The following is a 23,412-nucleotide window of genomic DNA, read 5'->3' as shown; positions in this document are numbered from 1 at the left end:
AGGCCCCGGTGTGTGATGTTCCCCACCCTGTGTCCATGTGTTCTCATTGTTCAGTTCCCACCTATGAGTGAGAACATGCGCATACACGCACATTTTTTATTACAGAGTTGACCCTTGAGCATCACAGGTTTGAAGTTTATGGGTCCACTTATAGATGGATTTTCTTCCATCTCTGCCACCCGTGAGATAGCAAGACCCACTCCTCTTCTTCCTCCTCCCAAGCAGCCTACTCAACGTGAAGACTACAAAGATGAAGACCTTTATGATGATCCTCTTCCACTTAATGAATGGTAAATGTTATTTTCTTGTCCTTATGATTTTCTTAACAACATTTTCTTTTTCTCTAGCTTTTATTATTGTAAGATACAATATATAGTGCATATAACACACAAAATATGTGTTGATTGACTATATATGTTACTAGCAAGGTTTCTGGCCAACAGCAGGCTATTAGTAGCTAAGTTTTTGGGGAGTCAAAAGTTGTAGGTGGCTTTTTGGCTGAGGAGGGTTAGTGGCCCTAACCTTTTCATTGTTCAAAGGTCAACTAGATACAATACATATGTGAATATGCATATATGTGTATAGGTATATATGTGTATATGTATACATGTCTGTATGTATATATATGTATGTGTATATGTATATAAGAGTGTATATATTTGTAACACATGCACGCAAACATGCACGTATAAATCTTATTAGAAATTAATAAGAACTGTGAAAAGAAAGCAAGCAGCACAAGGGGTCAAGAGACTCAGGAGCTCTTCTGAGATGGGGTGTGGCAGGGAAGCCCTTCTGAAAACTTGGCATTTGAATGGAAGCTTACAAAGGTCTTGAAGGAGAGCACCAAGCCAGGCTTCCCATCAAGTGCAAAGTCCTGTAGCAGAACGAGGTGGGGGCATCTGGAGAGCACCAGAAAGGCCCACGTGGCAGTGGCAAAGGGGCTGAAGGCTGAGTGGTGGGTGGGAGATGAGGGCTGACCTGGGGTCAGGCTCCAGACCAGAGGGGCTCGTAGGCCATAGTGAGTAGTATGAGCTACTTTCCAATTGTGGAGAGCTTTGAGTCTAAAAAAATTTAATCTGACTTTCATTAAAAAAGATTATTCTGACTACTTAGTGGAAAACATCTTGTAAAATAAGTTAAAGGAAATGATTAATATCTGCTCCATTATTTCAGTCCTAGGTCCAAATTATTTTGCACAACCATACTAACTCTTTTCCAGTTTCAATACACCGACCGTAATTTGTCAATACAGTTACTGTTATCAAAGTGCAATTTCCACCTAGAAGATATAAGTAAAAACCACATCACAACTAGAGGTTCCCAGTGGTGAGCTGCTGTCTCTCAAGGTGTACAAAGAGATGATTCACTGCTAGGGCATTGTAGGAGTAGTATCTACGTTCGGGGACACTAACCTTGGGTACCTCTGAGATCCTGTCTTTTTTGAGAGTTGCTAATTCTCTGGATTTCTTTGCTTTCTATTTTAATAATATAGATGGCACACGATTCTAGGTTTAAGATAAGACATGGAGAGTTTAGTGGATATTGCGTTGGGCTCTCCACATCTCGTTAGGACTCAAAACACTCCTTCCATCAGCTGCTGGGCATGGCGGTAGCAGATCAGCTGCCAGCCTCTTCCAAAAATGTCCCTGGCTGGAGAGAGCAGCCTAGCCCAAGGTCATGCCTCTTCCTAAGGAATTCTGTATTAGCCTTTGGTTAGTGTAGGGGAATAAAGACCTGACCCCCTTGCCTCAACTGGAGACCACATTGAAGGGCTTTTATCTTCAGAGCTCCCCAAGGTCAGCTGGACTCTGTTGAGTCCGGCTTCTCCCTCCCAGTCCTGCCTTGTTCCCATCCCTTCCTCCATGTGGGTCCCCATAGGTATCCTCACTCAGTCTCCTGCCCCATAAGCTCAGGTTCTGTGTCTGCAGCCTGGGGAGCCCCAGTAGAACTATTGTGTAAGAAAATAGGCCGGTCGTGGTGGCTCGTTCCTGTAATCCCAGCACTTTTGGAGGCCAAGGCGGGCGGATCAAGAGGTCAGGAGATCGAGACCATCCTGGCTAACACGGTGAAACCCCCTCTCTACTAAAAATACAAAAAATTAGCCAGGCATGGTGGCATGTGCCTGTAGTCCCAGCTACTAGGGAGGCTGAGGCAGGAGAATCGCTTCAACCTGGGAGGCGGAGGTTGCAGTAAGCTGAGATTGTGCCACTGCACTCCAGCCTGGACGACACAGCAAGACTCTTTCTCAAAAAAAAAAAAAAAAAAAAAGAAAAAGAAAAAGAAAATGCCTTTGATGTCATGTATGCAATGGGAGCCCAGGGCTCTTGTTAGAGTCTTGAAGGTGCCTTCGTCACGTTTGGCTTGCGGGGGCTAACAGCCAGCGAGTTGTGTCACACTGTGTTCAGAGAAAGGGGCTGCTCTGGGAATTTCCAACCATGCTCCATGGAGGGATCAGCGTGTGCACAGTGCTGGGCACACTTCGGTAGCTCAGTAAACATGTACTAAAAATTAAAAATATAAACTGCAAACCTTTACCCTGTGCTTGGATTTGGAAGATCCTGTAGACCATTCTGAGCCACAGAGCACACGTGGGTGCTAGGGACAAGACCAACTCTGGAGGTGAGGGATGACCTCCGCAGATTCTTGGTCAGAGGGCTATGTGAGAAAGAGATAAAACAGGCCTATAGTCCTGCCACATGCTCTGCAGACTGCAAAGGAAAACTGGGCTATCCAGCAAGGTTGACCGAGAAAACAGAGCAGCACTGTTAGAGAAATTCAGAAATCATTTAAAAGACAGAAAAGTTTACTCTCTCAAATATCGTGAGCAAATGCTGCAAAGTATAACTTCACCTCCCCCCAATTTTATATCTTCCTCTGATATTTTATCATAATACTTTTATGGCTTCTTCTGAAGTGTTTTGATATGATAATTTTTTTGCAGGTACCTTTCATATGCATCAGCTTATTGGCATCAACAAGTTAGATAATAAATTTAGCTACAATACAGAACTACAATAAACATAATATGTACGGTATAAAGGTCACTGGAACCAAGTTGACATTTTGTTGTATTTCAGCATAAAAATACAGGGCAACTTTTGTGAACATTATTAATAATTTGAATTCTGTACAACCAAAGACATCCAAACATATTGTCTTAAAAGAATAAATGCTCAGTCAATGCACAATAAGTTTCTGATTAAAGTTCATTACCTCCATGCTGTCCATGGACTGGGTGGGCCACTCTGACCATTAAGTTTTTCCAAGAGGTGAAATGGTTCAGTGGCCCAGGCTTGGGAGACCCAGTTGGGTTCAGATCCTGGTCCTCCCCTCGCCAGCTGCATGGCCTCAATCAAGTCACTTAGTTTTGACAGCTCAGTTCCCTCGTCTGTAAAATGGAGATGGAAATCATAGTACCTAACTTATAGAGTGGTTTTGAGAAGTTAATACACATTAAACACTTTGAATAGTGTCTGGCACATAATAAGCTATAACTAGCTATTCTTATTCAAATGGATTTTCTCCCCTGAAAAAATGCATTCAGGATATTTTGAGGCAGCTTGAGTCCCGTGTACCAGACATGGTTTCTCCCATTTGGCAATGTCACTGAAATGATATCTGAGAACCAAGCATTGTGCCAAGGTAAGGCAGACATCCACTCCCCATAGAAGTTTCCATGGGTTTTCTGCCATTTCTAGCTATGGGATTCATTTATCATAGCTTTGGGGAAATACTTTACCTATTTTATTTCTCTTGTCTGTAAAATGGACACAAAATACTTACCTATTTAGAGTTCAGTGCAAAATACTTGCTGAATAATTAGCTTACACAGTGTCTAGTAAGAAAGAATATTGGGGCCGGGCGTGGTGGCTCACACTTGTAATCCTAGCACTTTGGGAGGCTGAGGCGGGCAGATCACCTGAGGTCAGGAGTTCAAGACCAGTCTGGCCAACATGGTGAAACCCCGTCTCTACAAATATACAAAAATTAGCTGGACATGATGGCGGGTGCCTGTAATCCCAGCTACTCGGGAGGCTGAGGCGAGAGAAACGCTTGAACTCAGGAGGTGGAGGTTGCAGTGAGCTGGGATCGTGCTGTTGCACTCCAGCCTGGGTGACAGAGGAGACTCTATCTCAAAAAAAAAAAAAAAAAAAAAAAAAGGAAAGAAAGAAAGAAAGGATATTAGAGGTTGGAGGTGAAAAATAGCCTGTGTTACCATCTGCACTGGGATTTGGCATCCCTCATGAGGGGTTTGCAACAATCAGTTGAAGCACTATTATTGCATCTGCACTTGGGCATTGACAGGTTGGTCTTACCCACTGGATCCCAGTCATGCTGTAAACAGGGCTTGCTTTGGAGTCTGTCAGACCTGGCTTAGACCCAGGCTCTGACCAAATGGGTGAGTTATGCAGCTACTTGGTGGCATCTAATACCCTATCGCAAAGGACTGCCGTGAACAGGAAGGAGGTGTCAAATTTGGCAGTGCCTGATGAGGTGAGGCCAGGACCCAGGAACTTCTATTCCCTCCCATGCTCAGGAACAGTAAGTGTTCTTCTATCTGCAGAGGTAGATGCTTAGCACATCGTGGGTACTTCACTCATGATTGCTAAATTTGAATTTGTGATAAGTCATTTCAAAAGTCAGATCTAGGACCAAAAATACAATATCTGTCAACATGAACTGTAGATCATGGTTTTCCTCCAGCCCAGGAATCTCCTTTCAGTAAACGCTTCTTCTCCAAATGTCTTCATTCCCTAAATAAAACAAACAAAAAAGTGGTAAGAGATCTGTTCATTTCAATTCCCACAATATAGGTTACAGTCAAGATTCGTAAGAGTTTTCCAATTTTAGGTATCTTATTTCTCTGTTCTCTGAAATGGGTACAATACTAAAGAACTGGCTAGGATTTAGTGTAAAGTACTTTCTCAACATTTGGACTGTGCATTTTATTTGTATCATGTCTCTCAAATTCAAATTTGTTAATGTTAACATCAGAGAGTAAATGACTAGAGATTCAGCATGCATGTCCACAAAGAGATACCAATGTGGGCTATGGGGGAAATAGTCATTATAACAACATCCAAGGGCAGACAGGAAAATTTATAGTCATGGACTAATTATCCTTTTCATCTCTCAAGTTTACATCACTGTGAAAATTCTTCCTCTAAGGTTAGGTGGCAGCTAATGTGAATCCTAACTCAGGTGTTGGATATATTTATTATGGTGGCCTTTCTTTAATGTTTCTACACAAAGTCAAGTGGACATGGACATTCAGAATACTACACATTCTGAAGCAATAAAATCTAATATGCTGTAATATTATTTCCTGCTTCTATTTAAGATAGATACTTAAACGCTAACTTACATTTTATTCAATCTTTAAGTTTTTAAAATAATGAATTTTCTCTACCGCATTCCCACCCCCTCACAGTTTTTGAGTCCACCTCGCTGGATTTTGTGAAAATAGATCCTTCACACACAACAAAGAAGGAACTTTCTGGAAGGCTGTACTCTGGAACTGCAGACTTCTCTCTCAAGTCAAGTACATTTCTGTTTTTCTTAAAGCTGCAAAACTACAACAATGTTTATATTCATATGAAGTATTTCAGCAATTCATAGCCAATTTATCAATGACCACGCAGCTGCAGGCACTGCAGTTTAAAAAAATATACCAGCTCACTTAGTGTTTACATAGGCTCTGAAAGCCCCACGTCCTGGCAGGGGGACGGGAGCCACCGGAGTCATTAGAAAGGTACGCTGGAGCGCCTGCCTGTGATGGTGGAGGGATGTTTGCATTATAGCCCAACACATCATTAAGGACACAATTGTTATTTAATGTGGCACAATCATCTTTCTACTCTTCATGAAATCCACTTAAGTAATTACCTTCTTAGCTCATTGGCTCTGTGAGCTGCCTGGTTAGAAAGGGTTATATCTAAGGAAATATTAAAAACCGGGCTCACACTGTTGCCCCTTTAAGCTGACTTGTATTTATTAATATATTCTAAATGAAGATCTTTCTTCCTGCCCTGAAAGAGGGAGGAAACTCCAAGGTAAATAAATGCTCTGGAGCATTGGCAGGGTTTAAAGGGAATAAGAACACATTAGCCAAAGTCTCCTCACTGTCAGCCATTCTTAACAAAGCAACTGATACCTGCATAATGCCTGGGCTCTTTGTAGTTTCAGTCTGACATCTGTTTTAGCCAATCAATTTTTCATTAAAGTCAAAATGCTGCTTTAAAATTTGCCTTGGCTTTCTCTTTTTAAGACAAGAACAAATTTATGACGAAAATATTCCTTTACAAAACTCGATGCAATAGCTTACTAAGCTGTGTGGATCTTCATAAGTGGCATAGTTTTGAAGACTCACTTTGAATAGTCTAGATATTAAGATGGAAAGTTTAAAGAACCCACAGAACTTATTTTCAGAGCACATTTAAATGTCTTTTAAGCAGATTTTTTTTTATTATGACGTGTCCAAGATGAGCTTGCAGAGATTCAGCATCATTTAAGGAGAGCAGAGCCGAAGTACAGAATTGAAATTACTTGAAAACACACATCTGCATTTTAAACTTTAAGCTCCCTTTCAAAATACACTGTACAATCCATGTTTACTATAAATACAGCGAGGTAAGTCTGAAATACCTTTATCTTATTTGGTGGATCTGTGTTTGAGCCTCTTTGTTTGAACAGAAGTGTCAGCTGTATTTTACTTTATTATATAAAAAAGTTTCAGAATTTAATTAAGGGTCAAGTACCAGCAGTAGATAAATGCAACAGCTAAAGCATATTTCTGATCACTCTGAAGTCTGCAATCACGAAAATTATTATCATTGAGTAAAACTGGTCTCAATGATGGTGACTGGGAGATGGATTCTGTGTTACTCAGCCATCATTTACATAATAATGGGTTCCAGTTTTCATCAGCACCTTTTGTTTGTACAGTGCTTACTGCTACAGTAAATTGTCAAAATGTCATTCCTCTCCAATCAGCCAGAAAATATCAACAGTAAACAAGGCACAGGAAGAAATTCTCTGATTAGGAGTGTGGCAGAGGAAGAGTAGAGCTGAAGTCTCTGTGATCGCTTGAAACATGTTATTCTGGTGTTCCCAATAATACAGTCGTACAGATTATGAAAATTACTTCTCTCTCTCCCCACCTCCACCCAGCCCCTTTAATGAAGAAATACCACTCTGCTTCTGAGGTCACCAGGAAACCTCAGGACGATCACTGGGGATTAATTGATTTACATACGTATTTGTGGGTGCCACTCTGTTCCCTCTTACTGGGGATCAGCCTCTCCTTCTTTTTCTGGCAGGGTACTGCGGATTAAATGGGGCCAGATTCTCCTACAGTGTTCTTGTCCCTGCTTGGTTCTCTGACTCCTGGCCAGTGGGGATTCAGAGAATAAAGGAGCTGTGGAGAAGAATTTGGCCAGTGCCCACGCTGCTATCACATGGGGCAGTGACAGAGAGGCTCCCATCCGCTGACTCGCCAATACTCTTCTTGTTTCAGCTGAATTGCTGCCAGAGCAGGAACTCAGGAGCTGGGGAAGAGCCCCAGGCGGCAGCAAAGTCTTCCACTCTTTGCCTTTCTACTTGGCCATCACTTGAACTCGGAGACCAGGGACCAGGGACCAGGAAGGATGATAGCCAACTCTACAGCCAGCATTTAGGGCACGGAGCCCAGACTGCCCAATGACCAGTTCTCTCTCTTTCTGCTTTCCCTGCACCCCAGGCCACTCTTCAACAACATTTTAAAGTCCGAAAGAGACATGAAATCAACAACTCTTCCTGTTCCTCAGTGAAATCTCCCCAGGACTAGGAAAGGATGAGGATGAATTAGTACAGTATATGCCTTATAACCATTATAGTTACAAAGTATATTAAAATTAAAGACTTCACATTGTGTCTGAAATAAAAATGAATATAGTGGCATCCTGCCAAGAGTCCCAGAAACCACTCTTGTGTGGAATTGAAACATTTGGCTCATATAATACTTAATTTATTTTTATGAAATGACAAGTTATATAAATGTATGTTTAAAACAGAGGGGTACAACATTTTTTTGGTAAGGTTTTTTTTTTTTTCTTTTTGGTATTCTGGCGTATATAGCTACATGGTTGGGACTTATTTCTAAACAGAACAAAAAGGAATATGTTTTTCCAAAATGGCGTTTTAAAGCTATGTGGTCCCCAAATATTTCAAAATATGATCATGCAGTTATGTTGCCCATGGCAAGGCTCACAGTACCTTCATTGGAAATGAATAGGAGTTTTAAGATCTATTGAAATGAAGTGTTGACATCAGGGAATATTTTGTACTGCTTTCAGGTTTCTTACCATGCACTTTATTTTGCTTGGCTACTTTTAATTTTTTCCCCCCCACTTCTCTTTGAAAATCCGACATTGTCCAAACCCTTTCGATGAAGAAGCTTGCTTGAATGAAAGCGCCGTGATGCTGTGGTGGTGCATCAGTAAACAGGGGGCCCGAGGAGCGGGCAGCGCGCGGAGAAATAGGGCTGATCAGCGGTAATTACCCTGACACCTCATGCAGTACAGGGAATTAACTCCTAGGACTTTGGGCCGAATGAAGAAGACGTTGATGTTTCACGTTGTGAATGCATCAGTGCCTGAACCCATTACCAGTTTAAACGGAGATGAGAATTTACTATACACTTTTTTTTTTTTTTTTTGGTTGGGAATGTAGACCGGTGTGCAGAAAATGAGAAAGTAATTCAGGATGCAGAAGCAACCACAATTTGTATTTTTATTAAGGCTTTTGCCTTCTGATTCTATATCATATCCATGACACATAAATACAAGAGAAGGTCCATGGCAACCATTGTCTTGAAAAGAGGGAGCCCGTTGCCTTAAAGAAGAGGTTAGCGTGTCACCAAAGTAGGTGAAGGTATTCCACGGCAGACCCATAGAAAGTGCTCGAAAACACAGAGCAGGAGGGGAAACACAGCTCAAAAGGCAACTAGTTAGCAGCTGCCACTATGACCTTTAACTGCATCCATGGTAACTGGGCTAAGGATGGAGTTCCATTTTACTATTCTCACACCCACAATGTTAAGCCTGTGAATCCCATTGCAATTTAATGGCTGAAATCAGAAGGCAGATCTGTGTTCATTGGACCGGTGCCGATACCCTCTTAGCTAATGAGCGCAATAAACATTTTCATGCCAGGAAACCAGTGCAAGTGGAAATATTATGCCATACAGAAATATATACCCAAACACAAAGAAATGGTCAGTAAAGTCAGTCTTTTATGTATATTTGCATATTCTAGCATTCAAAGCCAATCATCTTTTAAAAAAAGAATAAAAAAAGCTGCTAGACTATTAAAAACTGTAGCATACCACAAAGCTTACTGTGAATGAGAAATCAGAAGAGTTATGAATTCTAGAGTTAATGACTATTACTGCCTGTTCTATTATTTTCCTTAATGAATCTTATTATTTGTAAATGTATGCTTCTTTTTATGTGGCTCTAATATACTTCATGCCTTTTCCCTGACTATATACCGTACCTCCAGCTGGGGCAAGAAACCACTGCAAAAGCAATACCCACTTCTTTGGTAAAGGGAAGAGGTTTTATGATCGCTTTGCCTTCATAGCTATTTAGTTCATAGTTCGTTAAGAATTGATGACAATAGTGTCATACTGTTGTTACAGACTTTGCAACCTGCAAGGATACATAGATCATGCTTGTTTGTTTTGAAACCCCAGAAAAAAATGATAATGGGAGCTCATCACCAGTGAATTAGCCTTTGAATGCATGCTGCCTCTCTGAACAACTGGTAACTGGTAACTTTTTTTTTTTTAAACCAAAAACATGTTTAAGTTTAGAATGAGATGGCATCTGAAACTGAGCTCCTCAATTTAAGAAATAGCCAGTTTCAGAGGTTTAAGCATGATTAACATATGATATATAAAATTTTAACTGTGTGATTTTTCTGCTTCACTCTCCTAATAATTCTTTTTACAAAACTTTTAACGCATTAAACTTTAGCTATGTAAATGTTCTGCTCGTATCAAAAGGCTGCCAAGAATTATCCTTGAAACCTATCTTAGATTGTTTCAATAAGGCACAGTGTATAAAACTACATGGGCACCTACAGATAATGTAATCTATTGTATTTTTCAGTCCTTTCTTTCAAACTTTTTCTCAGAAATATTAAAATACTCCCCAACTTTATTTTTGTTAAATTGTTTTCTGAGCAAAGATGAGGGCTTAATAACTTTCCTTATCAGGAACAGTATGTTTTTCTTAGGGAACAATGTCAGGTATCCATTGTAAGAAAAAACTTGAACAATTTTGCTCACAGAAGCTGCTTGTCCTGGAAACTACAAAGGTCAGAGAGAAAATAATTTGGGTGCTTCTTATCTTTTAAAACAATTCCACTTTTATCATCATCAGAGAGTTTTAGGAAGGTTTTTTTTTTGTTTTTTTTTTTTTTAAAGCGAGACAAAGGAAGTGAGAACTCAGAGACCTGTTTACTTGACTTATAAAAGGGCAGGCAGTGCCTCCATCAGTTAAATAAAAGATGTTCTATCAATTTAGACAATTATACCAAAGATTAAGAGTGTCATGAAGCTGATGAAATCTCCTAGGTAACATTAAAAAATAATATGCTTTTAGATCACATCATATATTAAATGACAACTGCCAATTTTTTTAAAAAGAGTACTCAAAATTCTTTCCTGAATGACAACGTGAAGTTAAAATACTTTGTTCTTAACAGTTAACTTCATTGACATGACGCTTCTGCTTCTTGACTAAGGAAACTTGGCTAATAAGAGCTTTTTGTTTATTCAAGTAAAAGTGGACTGCAAGTTGTAGGATTTTATAGCCTCCCTGCATCTTTGCTTAATTAAGGCATGCATAGAGAATGTTTTGCTAGCATATTACTTGATTTAAAATATCTAAATATGGCTGATATTTAAATAGTTACCATCCTCTTGACTTGGCTTCCCCTATTTTATTGGCTTCTGAATGATTGTTTTTCTTATCGTTAGGCTAGGAAAAATTATTGCAAGCTTTAATTAAAGAAGTGACAGTAGTCGCCACAGGAAAGATCAGAAGAAGGGCTTACGATGACCTCGGCCCAGACCCAGCTCTGTGGAGGACTAATTGCAGGACCAGAGGCGAATGGTTTAACACAGCTGCCCTTCACAGCCCTTTTTGCTCAATGTGCACAATAATATCTGCTCCTTCTTGAGGACTGTTACTCAGATACCTGCCAGTTATGAGTGGTCTGACACATTCTCAACATGGAGCTAGGGAAACCCAGAATCATTTAGCCACCTAATCTAAACAACATATTTGTTATAAAGTTCACACCTGGGTAGAAGATGCCACCAGTCCTCTCAGCCTCAGTAAAAGCTCCTCCCCTCTTCTTGGGCCCAAGGAATGAAGGGAGAGGCCCTGCACTCCTCTGACCACCCAGGTTGAGTTTGGGCCTGGGATCCATGCTTTGGTGAGGAACTCTAGGGGACCAGGATATAAGCAGAGATGCCATCAGCCAGCCAAGACTCTCTCATCTCTAGGGAAGTCTGCTGTCCTCACCTGGCTTTAAATTACACTCCCTTGCCCAAATCTGCCTTCTGGTCCTCTTCTACCTCCACCTGAGCCTTCCAGCTCCTGGCACAGTTTCACGTTTGACCCTCTGTGCTGCCAGGCAAAGCACCAAGTTCTTCTGAGTTGTTGGTGACAAGGCACAAAAAGCCCACTGTCAGTGTATACTTTTCAACTTCTGGTCCTCCCCACAGGGTTACTTTGCTCATGTAGAAGATGTCAAACCACCATCACTATTATCAGCAGCATCAGCAAGAACAATACTCACTTATCGAGCTCTTACTCTGGGCCTATCATAAGGACTATCTCATTTAATCTTTGTAGCAAGTCTATGAGAAAACCAATTCTGAGCGATTAAGTAAATTACCAGAGGCTACAGAGATAGGAAGTTGTTTGGTTGAGCTGTAATTCCCAGAAAGAGCAACAGTGATAATATAAATATAAGGTTTGGTTGCATTTTTTTTTGGTACAGATACTAAGGTCTAAGGACACTTAGCTAGCTAGCCATGCTATTTGTGGACTTGGAAGATGGGCTTGCTTAGCTAGCCATGCTATTTGTGGACTTGGATTCTTTTCTAACTGATTTTCTTCTAACGATACTAGAATCCTTATCAACTTGATTGCTAAGAGGTATGGGAGAGAGAGGATTAGTTAGTAGACGCCCTCTAACTTATGTCTATGGGCTTGACTCTTGATCCTTTAATGCTTACTGAAAAATATTGACGGTGGTTTTTGACTCCAGCATTCCTTGTGTCATTCCCAGCCTGTGACATGTCTGTGAATGACTTCATGTAGTAACCATGTGCTGTTTTATCTCCACGGCTTGGTTTATAGTGAGAATTCAAAAGTATATCCATTGGATCAACTGACAATTTTGGGGGCCTCCTGTGGCAAAATCATCTTACTAGATGACTTCAACAGAAAAGGGATGTGGAAGAGAAACGATCCCAATTTTTTCAGTTAAGGTGGGATACACAAATATGTATGTGTTATTCATAAATACATATTACCCCTTACTCTCCCCTCAAATAGAAGGTTAGGAAAGTAGGAGACAAAGATGGTAATACATCAAAACACATTTTGGGTGCTTAGGAAAAAGGACTTAGAAGTAAAGGTATACTTGACTTTGCAAAACGTCCAACATGATTCAAAAACTGCTACAGGGTCCACATTAATATGAAGCTTTGTCCTCCCATCTGCAGCCTCAGTCTGTGTACAAAAGCGCGGACCATATGATGGTCGGAACAAACTGGGATCGCAATCAGGCATTTCCTTTAGAGCCAGAAACTCTCCAGAGGATCAGTGAGAGGAACAGTACTGATTCCAGAAGGGTCTTTTGTGATTACTCACTGTATTCTGACTGCAGGGGAGAGAAAATCATATTGCAGAAGACTTGTGGGAAGAAGGCAGGCAAACAGTAAAAAAGCAATTCTCTAAATATATCAGTTCTCAGACTATGGATGATGACAGGATAAATGAAAGCAACATGTGTCAAATGTGGTACAATGGCAATCCCACACTAGAGAGATGGGAAAGCACAAACACTAATCAGAAGAAACAAAGAAGAGTTGAGAATTATGAAATTGCTTTACAAGGGATAAGTCAACAGCATGGGTGGAATGGAGAAACACACAAGCAGTGGACCCAGGTCTTTAGGTAATATTAATAAACAAGGCAATTTGCTTATTTGTTGGTTCAAAATGGAATGATATGGGAAGAAAATCAAATAATAATTCGAAATGAAAAAATTACCTCATCCTGAAGTAAAAACACAAGTCTTCTTATCAAATAATATAGAAGCAACCAGTTCTAGTCAATGTAGAAAAGTATTTTTGTTAGAGGGTTCAACATAGGATTCAAAAGAACTTACACGTGAAGAGTATAGATATTTTTCTGAAGGTCAAGATCATGACCTTGTAAGTTATGTTAAGTACTTAGTACATTTTGGTCCTATTAGTATTATCGCTCTGAGTTCCATAATGAAAAATTGAAGGATGAGTAGGTCAAAGAGAGAAAAGTATTTATATGAAAGTTAAAAAAATAAATATCATATACTATTATTTAGAATGAGTTAAACATAATGAAATTATAGATTTGGTTGTGTTCTATCCTCTTGCCTAACATATTTGGAATTATTTTATTTTAAATCAGGACTCCCCCTAAGCAGACGTATAATGCTAGTCAATGCTTTTATTTATTTCTGCTATAGCGCAGAAGTAACTGCATCATTCAGATAACTCCGATAAGGCACCAAAATAGACACAGATAGAGAAGGGAGATGTGTCACAGTAGATGGACTCTGGAGCCCGACTATGGTGGACAAATTGTGTTGACACCTTAATTAGGACACACTTCCAATCGATCAGTCTTTTTGTAGATGGTTATTGTGCTCAGAGATGAGCTAACATTCTTACTCTATTTTTCTTGTGATTTCAAGAATAGTCTAAAACCTTAATTACCAGTATGGTTAAAAAAAAAAAGAAGGTTTGAATTTTCTGGGTAACTGAAATGTACATAATTAGGGCCAAAGACTTTAGTTTTTATCCATTTCTATTGATATTACTTTTCTCCAAATACATTATAATGGAGTATTGCATGAACATACAACTTGCTGGAATTCAACTTCATGAATTCTGAGAGAAATTGAGAGAGAGAGAGAGAACTGAAATGGGACAAAGCCCCCGTCTGCCTGCCACTTGATGGTATTGCCATGGGCTGAGTGGAATGAGGGGGCCTAAGACCGTTGCTCTTCAAATGTCCACAGTTCCTGTGGCTCCAGAGCATGGACACCTCTCCTCCGAGTGGGATTCTGGTGAGTTTCCATCCAGATATGCTATTCCCACAGCATGCTGTTTCAACAGAAGACAGCTAGAGCCTCAGAAGTGATAATTTATTCCAATCTGGCAGGAAAATGTGGTCTGTGGTAAATTTATTGAAAGTTAGTACCATACATTATTTTATAGAGGATGTAAAGAACCTTTTTTCAAGGTGCTTTAGATTATCTTGTTTTTCACTTGAGCTAAAGTCTTAACCTCTAAGTAAACTGTGAGTCTACTTTATATACATATTTACCGTAATAAATCAACTATACTATAAGTGAGTTTTATCCTGACTTGGGAGTCATATTATTACATAACCTACAGGATGAAATGTGTAATCTCTTAATAAATCCACTTTATCATTTTGCTTTTTCATTATTTCTTCTTGTTCCTAAAGATATAGTTCAGAAAGAGCAGCAGTATAAATGCTATGTAGTATTTTGGGGGAAGAAAGTATTTTTTGGGGAGACATGGTACATTGAAGAATGGTTAAGTATTGTTTTATATCACAAATCATTTGATTATTTATTTGACTTATTAAGATACATTAAAAGATCCATTATCTTATACAAAATGACTTCTACCTCTTGTTGATGTTAATTTCTTGCTTGTTTCATTAACACTCTGAGTCTGCTGAGCTGTTCAGGATGGTAGGCATTAGACACATGTGGCTGATTAAATTTTAATTATTTAAAATTAAATATAACAAACAATTCAGTAGCATTGGCCATGTCTTAACTGCTCACTAGCTACATGTGGTTACCATGCTAGACAGCATAAATGTAAAACAGTTCCATCATTACACAAAGTTCTATTGGACAAAGCCGCACTACGTTCTTAATTTGAAAAGTGGAGAAATTTCACATCTTAATTAATTATGAAACAATTTTTCCTCTTCATGTGAAAATAGATTTATTGCTGTTAAGTACTACTCCAGCATTGTTGTATTTCTGCAACTATAGGCAGGAATGGGAAATAGCATTACTGATTTCAACAGTGCTAACTCCTCAGGGTTTTATTTTTCCTTTTGCTTATATTTTCATTTTGTTGATCTCAAGATTTACTCCCATCTCAAGATATTTTGAGATGGGAGAATTTGAAGTTAAAATGTAGAAATATAAAGTGGAAAATGTTTTGTAAGACAATTTTGTCAGTATGTTTCATAAGTCCTGAAACAGATCCTGTTATGTCACTTTCAGAAGAATATTACCTCAAATGCCCTGATTGTATGTCCCCAAATATTCAAACAGTGTTATTAACAATAGTGAAAACAACTATTTTAGTCTTATTTTAGTCTATTAGGAAAGAGCTCATAATATATTGCTAAACAAGAAAATCAGATTACATAGAAAGTATCTACAAAATGATCTACCAGTCTATAAAAATTGCTAGCATTGGCAGTATGGAAGAAAAAACTATGTAGGGATATATGCATTAGGAAAAAATGGAAAAATTAATATCAGAAAACTAATCCTTTTTCCTCTGGTACTTGCTTTCTTTTGTGCTTTCCTTAACAAATTCTTCTTTTATTTTTGTTTTTAATTGACACATAATCATTGTAAATATTTATGGGGTGCAGTGTGATGTTTCAATACATGTATATACTGTATAAAAATTCAAATCAGGGTATTTAACATATCCATCACCTCATATATTTATTATTTATTTGTGGTGAGAACATTCAAAATCCTCTCTTCTAGCTATTTTGAAATATACATTATTGTTAACTATCATCACCCTACCCTACTGTGCAATAGAACTGATAGAACACCCGAAGTTATTCCTCCTCTCTAACTATAACTTTGTACCACTGGCCAGTGTCTCCGCATGCCCTCTTCCACCTTATCCTTCCCAGCCTCTGGGAACCACCATCCTACTCTCCACTTCTATGAGAGCAAATTCTTTAGATTCCACATATGAATGAAATAGTGTACTTGTTTTTTTGTGCCTGACTTATTTCATTTAACATAACATTCTGCAGGTTCATCCATGTTGCCACAAGTGACGGAATTTCTTTCTTTTTTATGACTGAAATTCTATGCTATCAAACTTCTGTGTCAAGACTGTTACCTAATTGTGTTCTCAATATCACAACTAGCATGCAATGACCACTTACGGTGTTTTAGCGCTTTGTATGTGTCATCTCATTTAATCTTGCAGCAATAATTATTTCCATTTTATAGTTGAGGAAGGTGAGATAAACAGAGATTGAGTAATTTTCCCAGGTTCATGTAGGTGGTGTGTGATTAAGCTGATATTTGAACTGAAACAACCTGACTCCAGAGCTGCTACTCTGAACTCCTGTGTCACTGAAGCCAGACAAACAAATGTCTATCAGTGATAGAAAAAAAAAAAACAAAACTCAGAGAGAATATTGCTCAATAACAGGATAAGTCTCCTAGCAGACCAGCAAAGAAACACAATTGCAAAGTTCTCAGGCTAATTGGGATTCCTATTGGACTTCAAGTCTAAAGTGTGTAAGAATGAACAAAATTTTGCTACTGTAGTTAACAGGGCCCAAAGATACTTCAAGCAAATTAGGGGCGGAAAATTGGGATTACTGCTTGAAAAAGGTCTAGAGTGGACCTCCCAGGTTGGTGAAAGAAAAGGGAAAAACCTGGTCCCTGCTACTCTCAGGGACTATGGTCTTGCGAAGCTATGTGCCCAAAAAGAAAGAAGACATTGGTACCATTCTAGTATCAAGAACCAGGAGAAGCTATTCCCTGAAAAGTGTATTTCAAATATCATTGCAAGGCAAGAAGCTCCTGTGACCACTGTAACACTGGTCCTGGAGTCAAGGTTACAGGGATGTCACTTAGAACGCCAAAAAAAAAAAAAATGCTCTACACTAAGAAAGAGCAAGAAAGGGGGTGAACTGCACACAATAAAATCAAATATTTTACACATGATGCTACAAATCAAAATTTCGAACTGTGTTAAAGAATTCTAGGCCAGGCACAGTGGTTCGTGCCTGTAATCCCAGCATTTTGGGAAGCCAAGGCCTGAGGATTGTTTGAGTTCAGGAGTTTGAGATCAGCCTGGGCAACATCGTGAGACCACATCACCACAAAAAATAAAATTTTAGTCTGGCATGGTGGTGGGCACCTGTAGTTCCAGCTACTTCGGAGGCTGAGGTGGGAGGATCATTTGAGCCTGGGAGGTCAAGATTCCAGTGAGCTGTGATTGCACAGTTGCACTCCAGCCAGGGTAACAGAGTGAGACCTGTCTCAAGCAAACAACAAACAAACCAGAAAAAAACCAGAATCCTAGTGCTGAGAAAGACAGCCAAGACACCAACAATCCAAATATAAATTCACAATAGATAAAAATCATAATAATAGGACTATGCTGGAAAAGATTTCAGTATGCTTATGAATCATAATAAAATGAAAGAACAACATGTGTAACAAGAATAATACATTACAAAAGACAGAAGTTAAACAAAATGTATTTGTGTAAAATAACAAGTTGGAAATCTTGGGAAAAAAAGTAGTAATTCACAAAAAAAATACTATATTGAAGTAAATTCTATATTGGACACGTTCACAAGGAAATATAAAATTGAGAGATAGTACTGAGGATTTCATTCAGATTACTCCTATCTTTGTATCATCTATCTATCTATCTATCTATCTATCTATCTATCTATCTATCATCTATCATCTATTTCTATGTACCCATACATACATGTATATATATACATACATATAGAGAGATAGGTAGATAGATATTCTCTCTATATTTCTATAATTAATTTACTGTGAAGAAAATATATATATTTACATTTATATAAATTTATTTAAATTTATATAAATGTAAATTTATGAACTTATAGAAGATAGGTCAAAAGGCTCTAAAGTAGGTCAATCAGGACTTCCAGAAAAGGAAAAAAGAAGAAATGGTGAAGTAATATTAGATAAAATGACTGCTAAAATTTTTTCAGCATTGATTAAAGAGATGTGTCCTTAGATTAAAAATGCCCTTCCAAAAAACAAAACCAAAAATTTTAAAATAAGGAGAAAATAAATCTTCATTTAGAGATATCACAGTGAAACAGAATCACATAAAAGAGACCACCAGAAAGGAAAGATACTTTAACTTAAGTTCGACAGTTGGCTTCTCACTGGCAATAAATGATACCAGAAGACAAAGGCTGAATTTCTTCAGTGCTATCAACCCTGAATTCTATAACCAGCTAATTTATTAATCAATAAAAAGAGAAATATTTTTTAAAATTCAGAAGTGTGAAGATAGGGTTTAATACTTACACACCTCATTGAGAAAAATTCCTAATGACTTCTCCAAGAAGAAAAATAAAATTGAGAGGAGTTGGATGGAAAAAAATAATAGTAAAACTGATAATGTAATTGACAAACACCCTTTGTGTGTCAGAACACCCTTTAATGTAAAACAGATTGTTGTTCAGTGTGTAGTTAACGTGAGCTAAGTCCCCTGTCTTTTTCAGAAAGGAAATAGAGACATCAAATAACCATTGATCTTATCAGAAACATTTGTAGTTAATATTCTGAGGTTAATTTAAAAGAGAAATATAGAAAGCTTTATCAAACAAATTAGCATTAGAAGTAAAGAAAAAAGGTACAAAGAAAAGAATTGCAGTAAAACTAGTTCCAAATATATCAGAAATTGCAATAAATGTTATAAATTAAACCCATTTATTACAAGATTGACACTAGCAGATGAATTTTTTTTTTTTTGAGACAGAGTCTTGCTCTGTCGCTTAGGCTGGAGTGCAGTGGCCTTATCTTGGCTCACTGCAACCTCTGCCTCTCGAGTTCAAGTGATTCTCCTGCCTCAGCCTCCCGAATAGCTGGGATTACACATGCCTGCCATCATGCCTGGCTATTTTTTTATATTTTTAGTAGAGATGGGGTTTCGCCATGTTGTCCAGGCTGGTCTCGAACTCCTGACCTCTGGGGATCTGCCCACCTTGGCCTCCCAAAGTGCTGGGACTACAGGCGTAAGCCACCGTGCCTGGCCAGAGTGAATTTTTTTTTTAAAGCTATCTTCTGCTTATATGAAACAAAATCATATAGAAATATTGGAAATAAAAGAACAGAAATAGATCTAATTATTACAACAACATTTACTTCAGACAAAAAAGAATTTGTGGCAAAATTCATGATTACAGTTAAAGAGGAACATTGCATAATTTTAGTGGTTAAACACAAACTGTTCAGGTGAGTATATATTTTTAGAATTTGGAATAACTACGACCTTGAAGGTCAGAGGATGGGGGCATCTATCCTCTCCACTTCCCTGCACACCCCTGACATCAATACATTCTATGAGATTAACTTTTTTTTTTCTCCTGAAATCCCTGCGATTTTGATGTTCAATTTCTATGAGTGGAAGGAAGAAGTAATTCTCTTTCCAATTTTATTTTTTATTGTTGTTATAGTTTAACTCTCCTTGCTTAGTTGTAGGGCAGTAGAGAAGGCGATAAAAAGCATGTACAATGAAAATGAACAAGGAACAAAATGCAGAAGTTTTTTCTAAGGTGCAGGAGAGGAGTATTCACATTAGAAGACAAGGCAACTCACTCACTAGACAGGATACATGGTGTGGAGAGGTGCCGGGGTCACGGCTGGGGGAATAAACTTCCCTTGTTGAGGTAAGGAGCTGCCATTGGGTAGTGGAGAACCTCAGTGTGGTGAACCTTAGGATGGTGAACATAGGCCAACTCAAGTCCTCCTCCACCTGGTAGAACCACTGAGACAGAGGGATTAGAGATTAAATCGCTGTTGGGCACTAGGATGGAAAAGGAAATGAAGCACGGGTTTAGCAGTGCCTTCATTTAAAGCTGGAGTATGGGTGCAAATCATTTTAGGAAAGGGTCAGAGAAATCTTGCAAACATTGCAAGAAAGACGTGAACTGAAATCCTTTTTGGGACTCAGAGGACTCTGGTCTCCAAGCAGAAGAGACAGAGTGTGGTTGCAGAATATTAAATCTAAAGAAAGGATGCTTGCCCATGACTTAATAGTACTTTCAAATTGAAGTATCATCAGATTCAATTGAGAGCATTGTAGCAAATGTGCAGTAGACAAGGTATAATTCTTAATATTTTAAAGAGCTAGATAGTCTCTCACAATAGGTCAAAATTTAGAATATAATTTTGGTCACAGGAGCATGTGATCTTTTGCCAAGCTGGGAAGGAAGACTAAGGGTTCTAGGTATTCTATTCCATCTGTTCCTGGTATTTACAAAGCTGAAGTGACTTAAATTGGAGCTTCTCTGATTCTCATTTGAATGTTGCTTGAATAAGTGGAAAATAGCTAAATAGGAGAAAGTCTGAGTAGGACTTTGGATTCCCACACTGGTTTTTACATTATTATTTTAAATCTTTGGATGTGGATTAATATTCATTTCTGTTTTGAGCTTCCTCCTTTTCCCTGTTTTCCTCTCTAGATCCTTCCAGAAGAACCACAGCCGTTGTTGATGAATCTGGGTGTGGGTAGAGCTTGTCCGCTGGAGGTGACGCAGACACCATCACTACAGTGTAAACACCATTCATGCAACTGCAGCCACCACCGGGGCCACTGGCCAGACCACCACTTCCCAGAGCCCAGGTAAATATATTTCCTTTAGCATGACAACCCTAGCAAGAGAGCAGAAAACCAAAACATAACTAGCTTTCGACACAGCCATTTTATTGGAAATATTCAGTTTTTTATTACAAGCCATGAAGATGTTTTTGATTATGTCGCTCTCAATTATTGTACATTTAATATAGAAAAACAAGTACCTTTCAAAAAGCCTGGTCACACTTGCAAAATATTTTTTAAATGTAAATATAGATTTTTAAAACATACATTACTTCCAACAATTAATGACCTATTTGGTTAACAGTAATTACATGGAGTTTATTGTTGATTCTCTTTTGTGTGATGTCTACATAGTTTTTTGAAGAGCCCTTTTACAGAGGGAAGGGGAAAAAATTTACTTTTGCCTGGAACAAAATGGAGCAGTGCAAATACTTGCTGTAAAATAAGGAAATGTGATTCAAATGACTCGAGTTTGGGGATTACTGAGAAATTCATTAAAAAAATTCTGAACTCAATAAAGGATTGTGTGGGATACTTTAGGTGTTAAATATATTTGTATTTTGACCTTGTGGTCAATTCCCAAACTTTACCAGCTATCTTAGTGTTTGTTTTTTCAAGGCAGACTCCCGGGAATAACCATTTTTATGTCTTTCAGATACTGCAGCAGCTATAAATAGCTTTGTAGAATTACATTAGGTGAGACAGCCCAATATCCCATTGCATGAGCAATGTGGAATTTTGAATAAAAAGTAGTTTAAATGGCATTTTGGTTTCAGTAGTGAATTAAAAGCAAGAAACAAATCACAGAAGAGGGACAAACAGATGTTTCTCTGATAGCTGGATTCCTTAGAAAATTGACTATAAATTCCATGAAGATAATTATTAGCACTGGATTATACAATCAGCATGATTTGCCTGGTTATCTACAAAATCATTAAAAAGTATAAGAAGAATCAAATGTATACTGTGTACCAAGCAGGAACTGCTGTTGGTCTTCGTTGAAATCCTGTCTGCAAATCTTTTTGTATAACTTAATTAGCAAAGTTAAAATTAAGATGAGGCTCCAGTGTGTTTAGATACAACAATTTCTATGAGAGGACACTTCATTAAAACATTTAATAACACAGCAAACTCTCAGTTATCAAAGAAATCTCTTTACAAAAACTGTTTTTGCCAATGAATAAAATGATTCAATCTAAGATATTTATTCTGTTCAAGAAGTATTCAAATTTTGCTTTTACTGTGGGTTCATATTCCAGGTGCCTGTTATATGCTCTGCGGACATCGTTGGTTTCTAGTCTTTATAACAATGCTGTCCCCTAGGATGTATTTAATACATGTTTATTGAGTGCCTACTATGTGCCAGGCACTATTGTAGGCTCTCTGGGAGCAGCAGTGAAGAGGATAAAGTGCTTACTCTCATGAGACTCGCATTCTGAGAAATGCAATAAGCTAGGAAACTCATAAATAGATACATTCACAGAGTTATGCAACCGTCACCACAATTTCAGAACATTTTCCTAGCCCCCAAAGAAAACTCTGTACTCTTTAGCCATCTTCTCCAGTCTCCCTGCCTCAACAGCCCTAGGCAGTCACTAATCCATTTTCTGTCTCTATAGATTTACCTATTATGGACATTTCATAAAAATGAAACCATATAATATCTGGTCTTTCAAAACCAGTTTCTTTCACACAGCATAATGTTTTAAAGATTTATACACACTGTAGCATGTGTCAATACTTCTTTTTTATTGCTGAATAACAATCCGTTAAGTGGATTTTATTTATCCATTCACCCATTGATGAGCGTTTGCATTGTTTCAACTTTTTTTGCTATTAAGAATAAAGCGGCTAAGAACGTTCCTGCCCAAGTGTTTGTGTGGACATATGTTTTCATTTCTTTTGAATAGATACCTAGGAGTAGAATTGCTGGATTATTTGTTTAACGTGTTGGGGAACTGCCAAACTATTTTCCAAAGTTGCCGCATCATTTTACATCTCTACCAGCAGTTTACGAAGGCTTCAATTTCTCCACATCCTCCAGCATTTGTTATTATCTGTCTTTTTTATTATAGCTATTTCTAGTGGTTGTGAAATGGTGTCTCATTGTGGTTTTGACTTGCATTTCCCTAATGACTAATGACGCTGAGCATCTTTTCATGTGCTTATTGGCCACTTATATATCTTCTTTGGAGAAATGTTTATTCAGATCCTTAGCTTATTTTTAAATTGGGTTACTAACCTTTTTGTTGTAGAATTGTAACAATTCTTCACACTATCTCTATAGTCTAGATATGTCTCTTATCAGATACGTGATTGGCAAATATTTTCTCCCATTTATTCTGTTGTCTCTTTGCTTTCTTGAAGATGTCCTTCGAAACATAAAAGTTTTAAATTTTCATCAGGTAAATTTGATCTATTTTTCTTTGTGCTCTTCGTACCAT

The 23,412-nt window shown here is 38.2% G+C and overlaps 2 long non-coding RNA genes across 2 annotated transcripts in view; one reads left to right on the top strand and one right to left on the bottom strand.

The window, feature by feature from the left end:
• The window catches only part of LINC01102 (long intergenic non-protein coding RNA 1102), a 78,411-nt gene that overhangs the window by 2,135 nt on the left and 52,864 nt on the right, over positions 1 to 23,412 (bottom strand). Inside the window, exons 2-3 of the long non-coding RNA NR_015399.1 lie at positions 4,320 to 4,757; positions 3,217 to 3,391 (exon numbers count right to left, since the gene is read on the bottom strand). This is a non-coding gene — a long non-coding RNA (long intergenic non-protein coding RNA 1102). The remainder of the gene's footprint in view (positions 1 to 3,216; positions 3,392 to 4,319; positions 4,758 to 23,412) is intronic.
• Positions 114 to 22,167, top strand: LINC01103 (long intergenic non-protein coding RNA 1103). The gene is made up of 6 exons (NR_110113.1): positions 114 to 290; positions 5,435 to 5,755; positions 9,683 to 9,807; positions 12,420 to 12,550; positions 20,832 to 20,992; positions 21,624 to 22,167. It is a non-coding gene; the product is annotated as a long intergenic non-protein coding RNA 1103 (long non-coding RNA).

This window comes from Homo sapiens, chromosome 2 (assembly GCF_000001405.40).
Source record: "Homo sapiens chromosome 2, GRCh38.p14 Primary Assembly".
Lineage (NCBI taxonomy): Eukaryota > Metazoa > Chordata > Mammalia > Primates > Hominidae > Homo > Homo sapiens.
The sequence above is the reverse complement of the archived record's forward strand: the minus strand, read 5'-3'. Positions and strand labels throughout refer to the sequence as shown.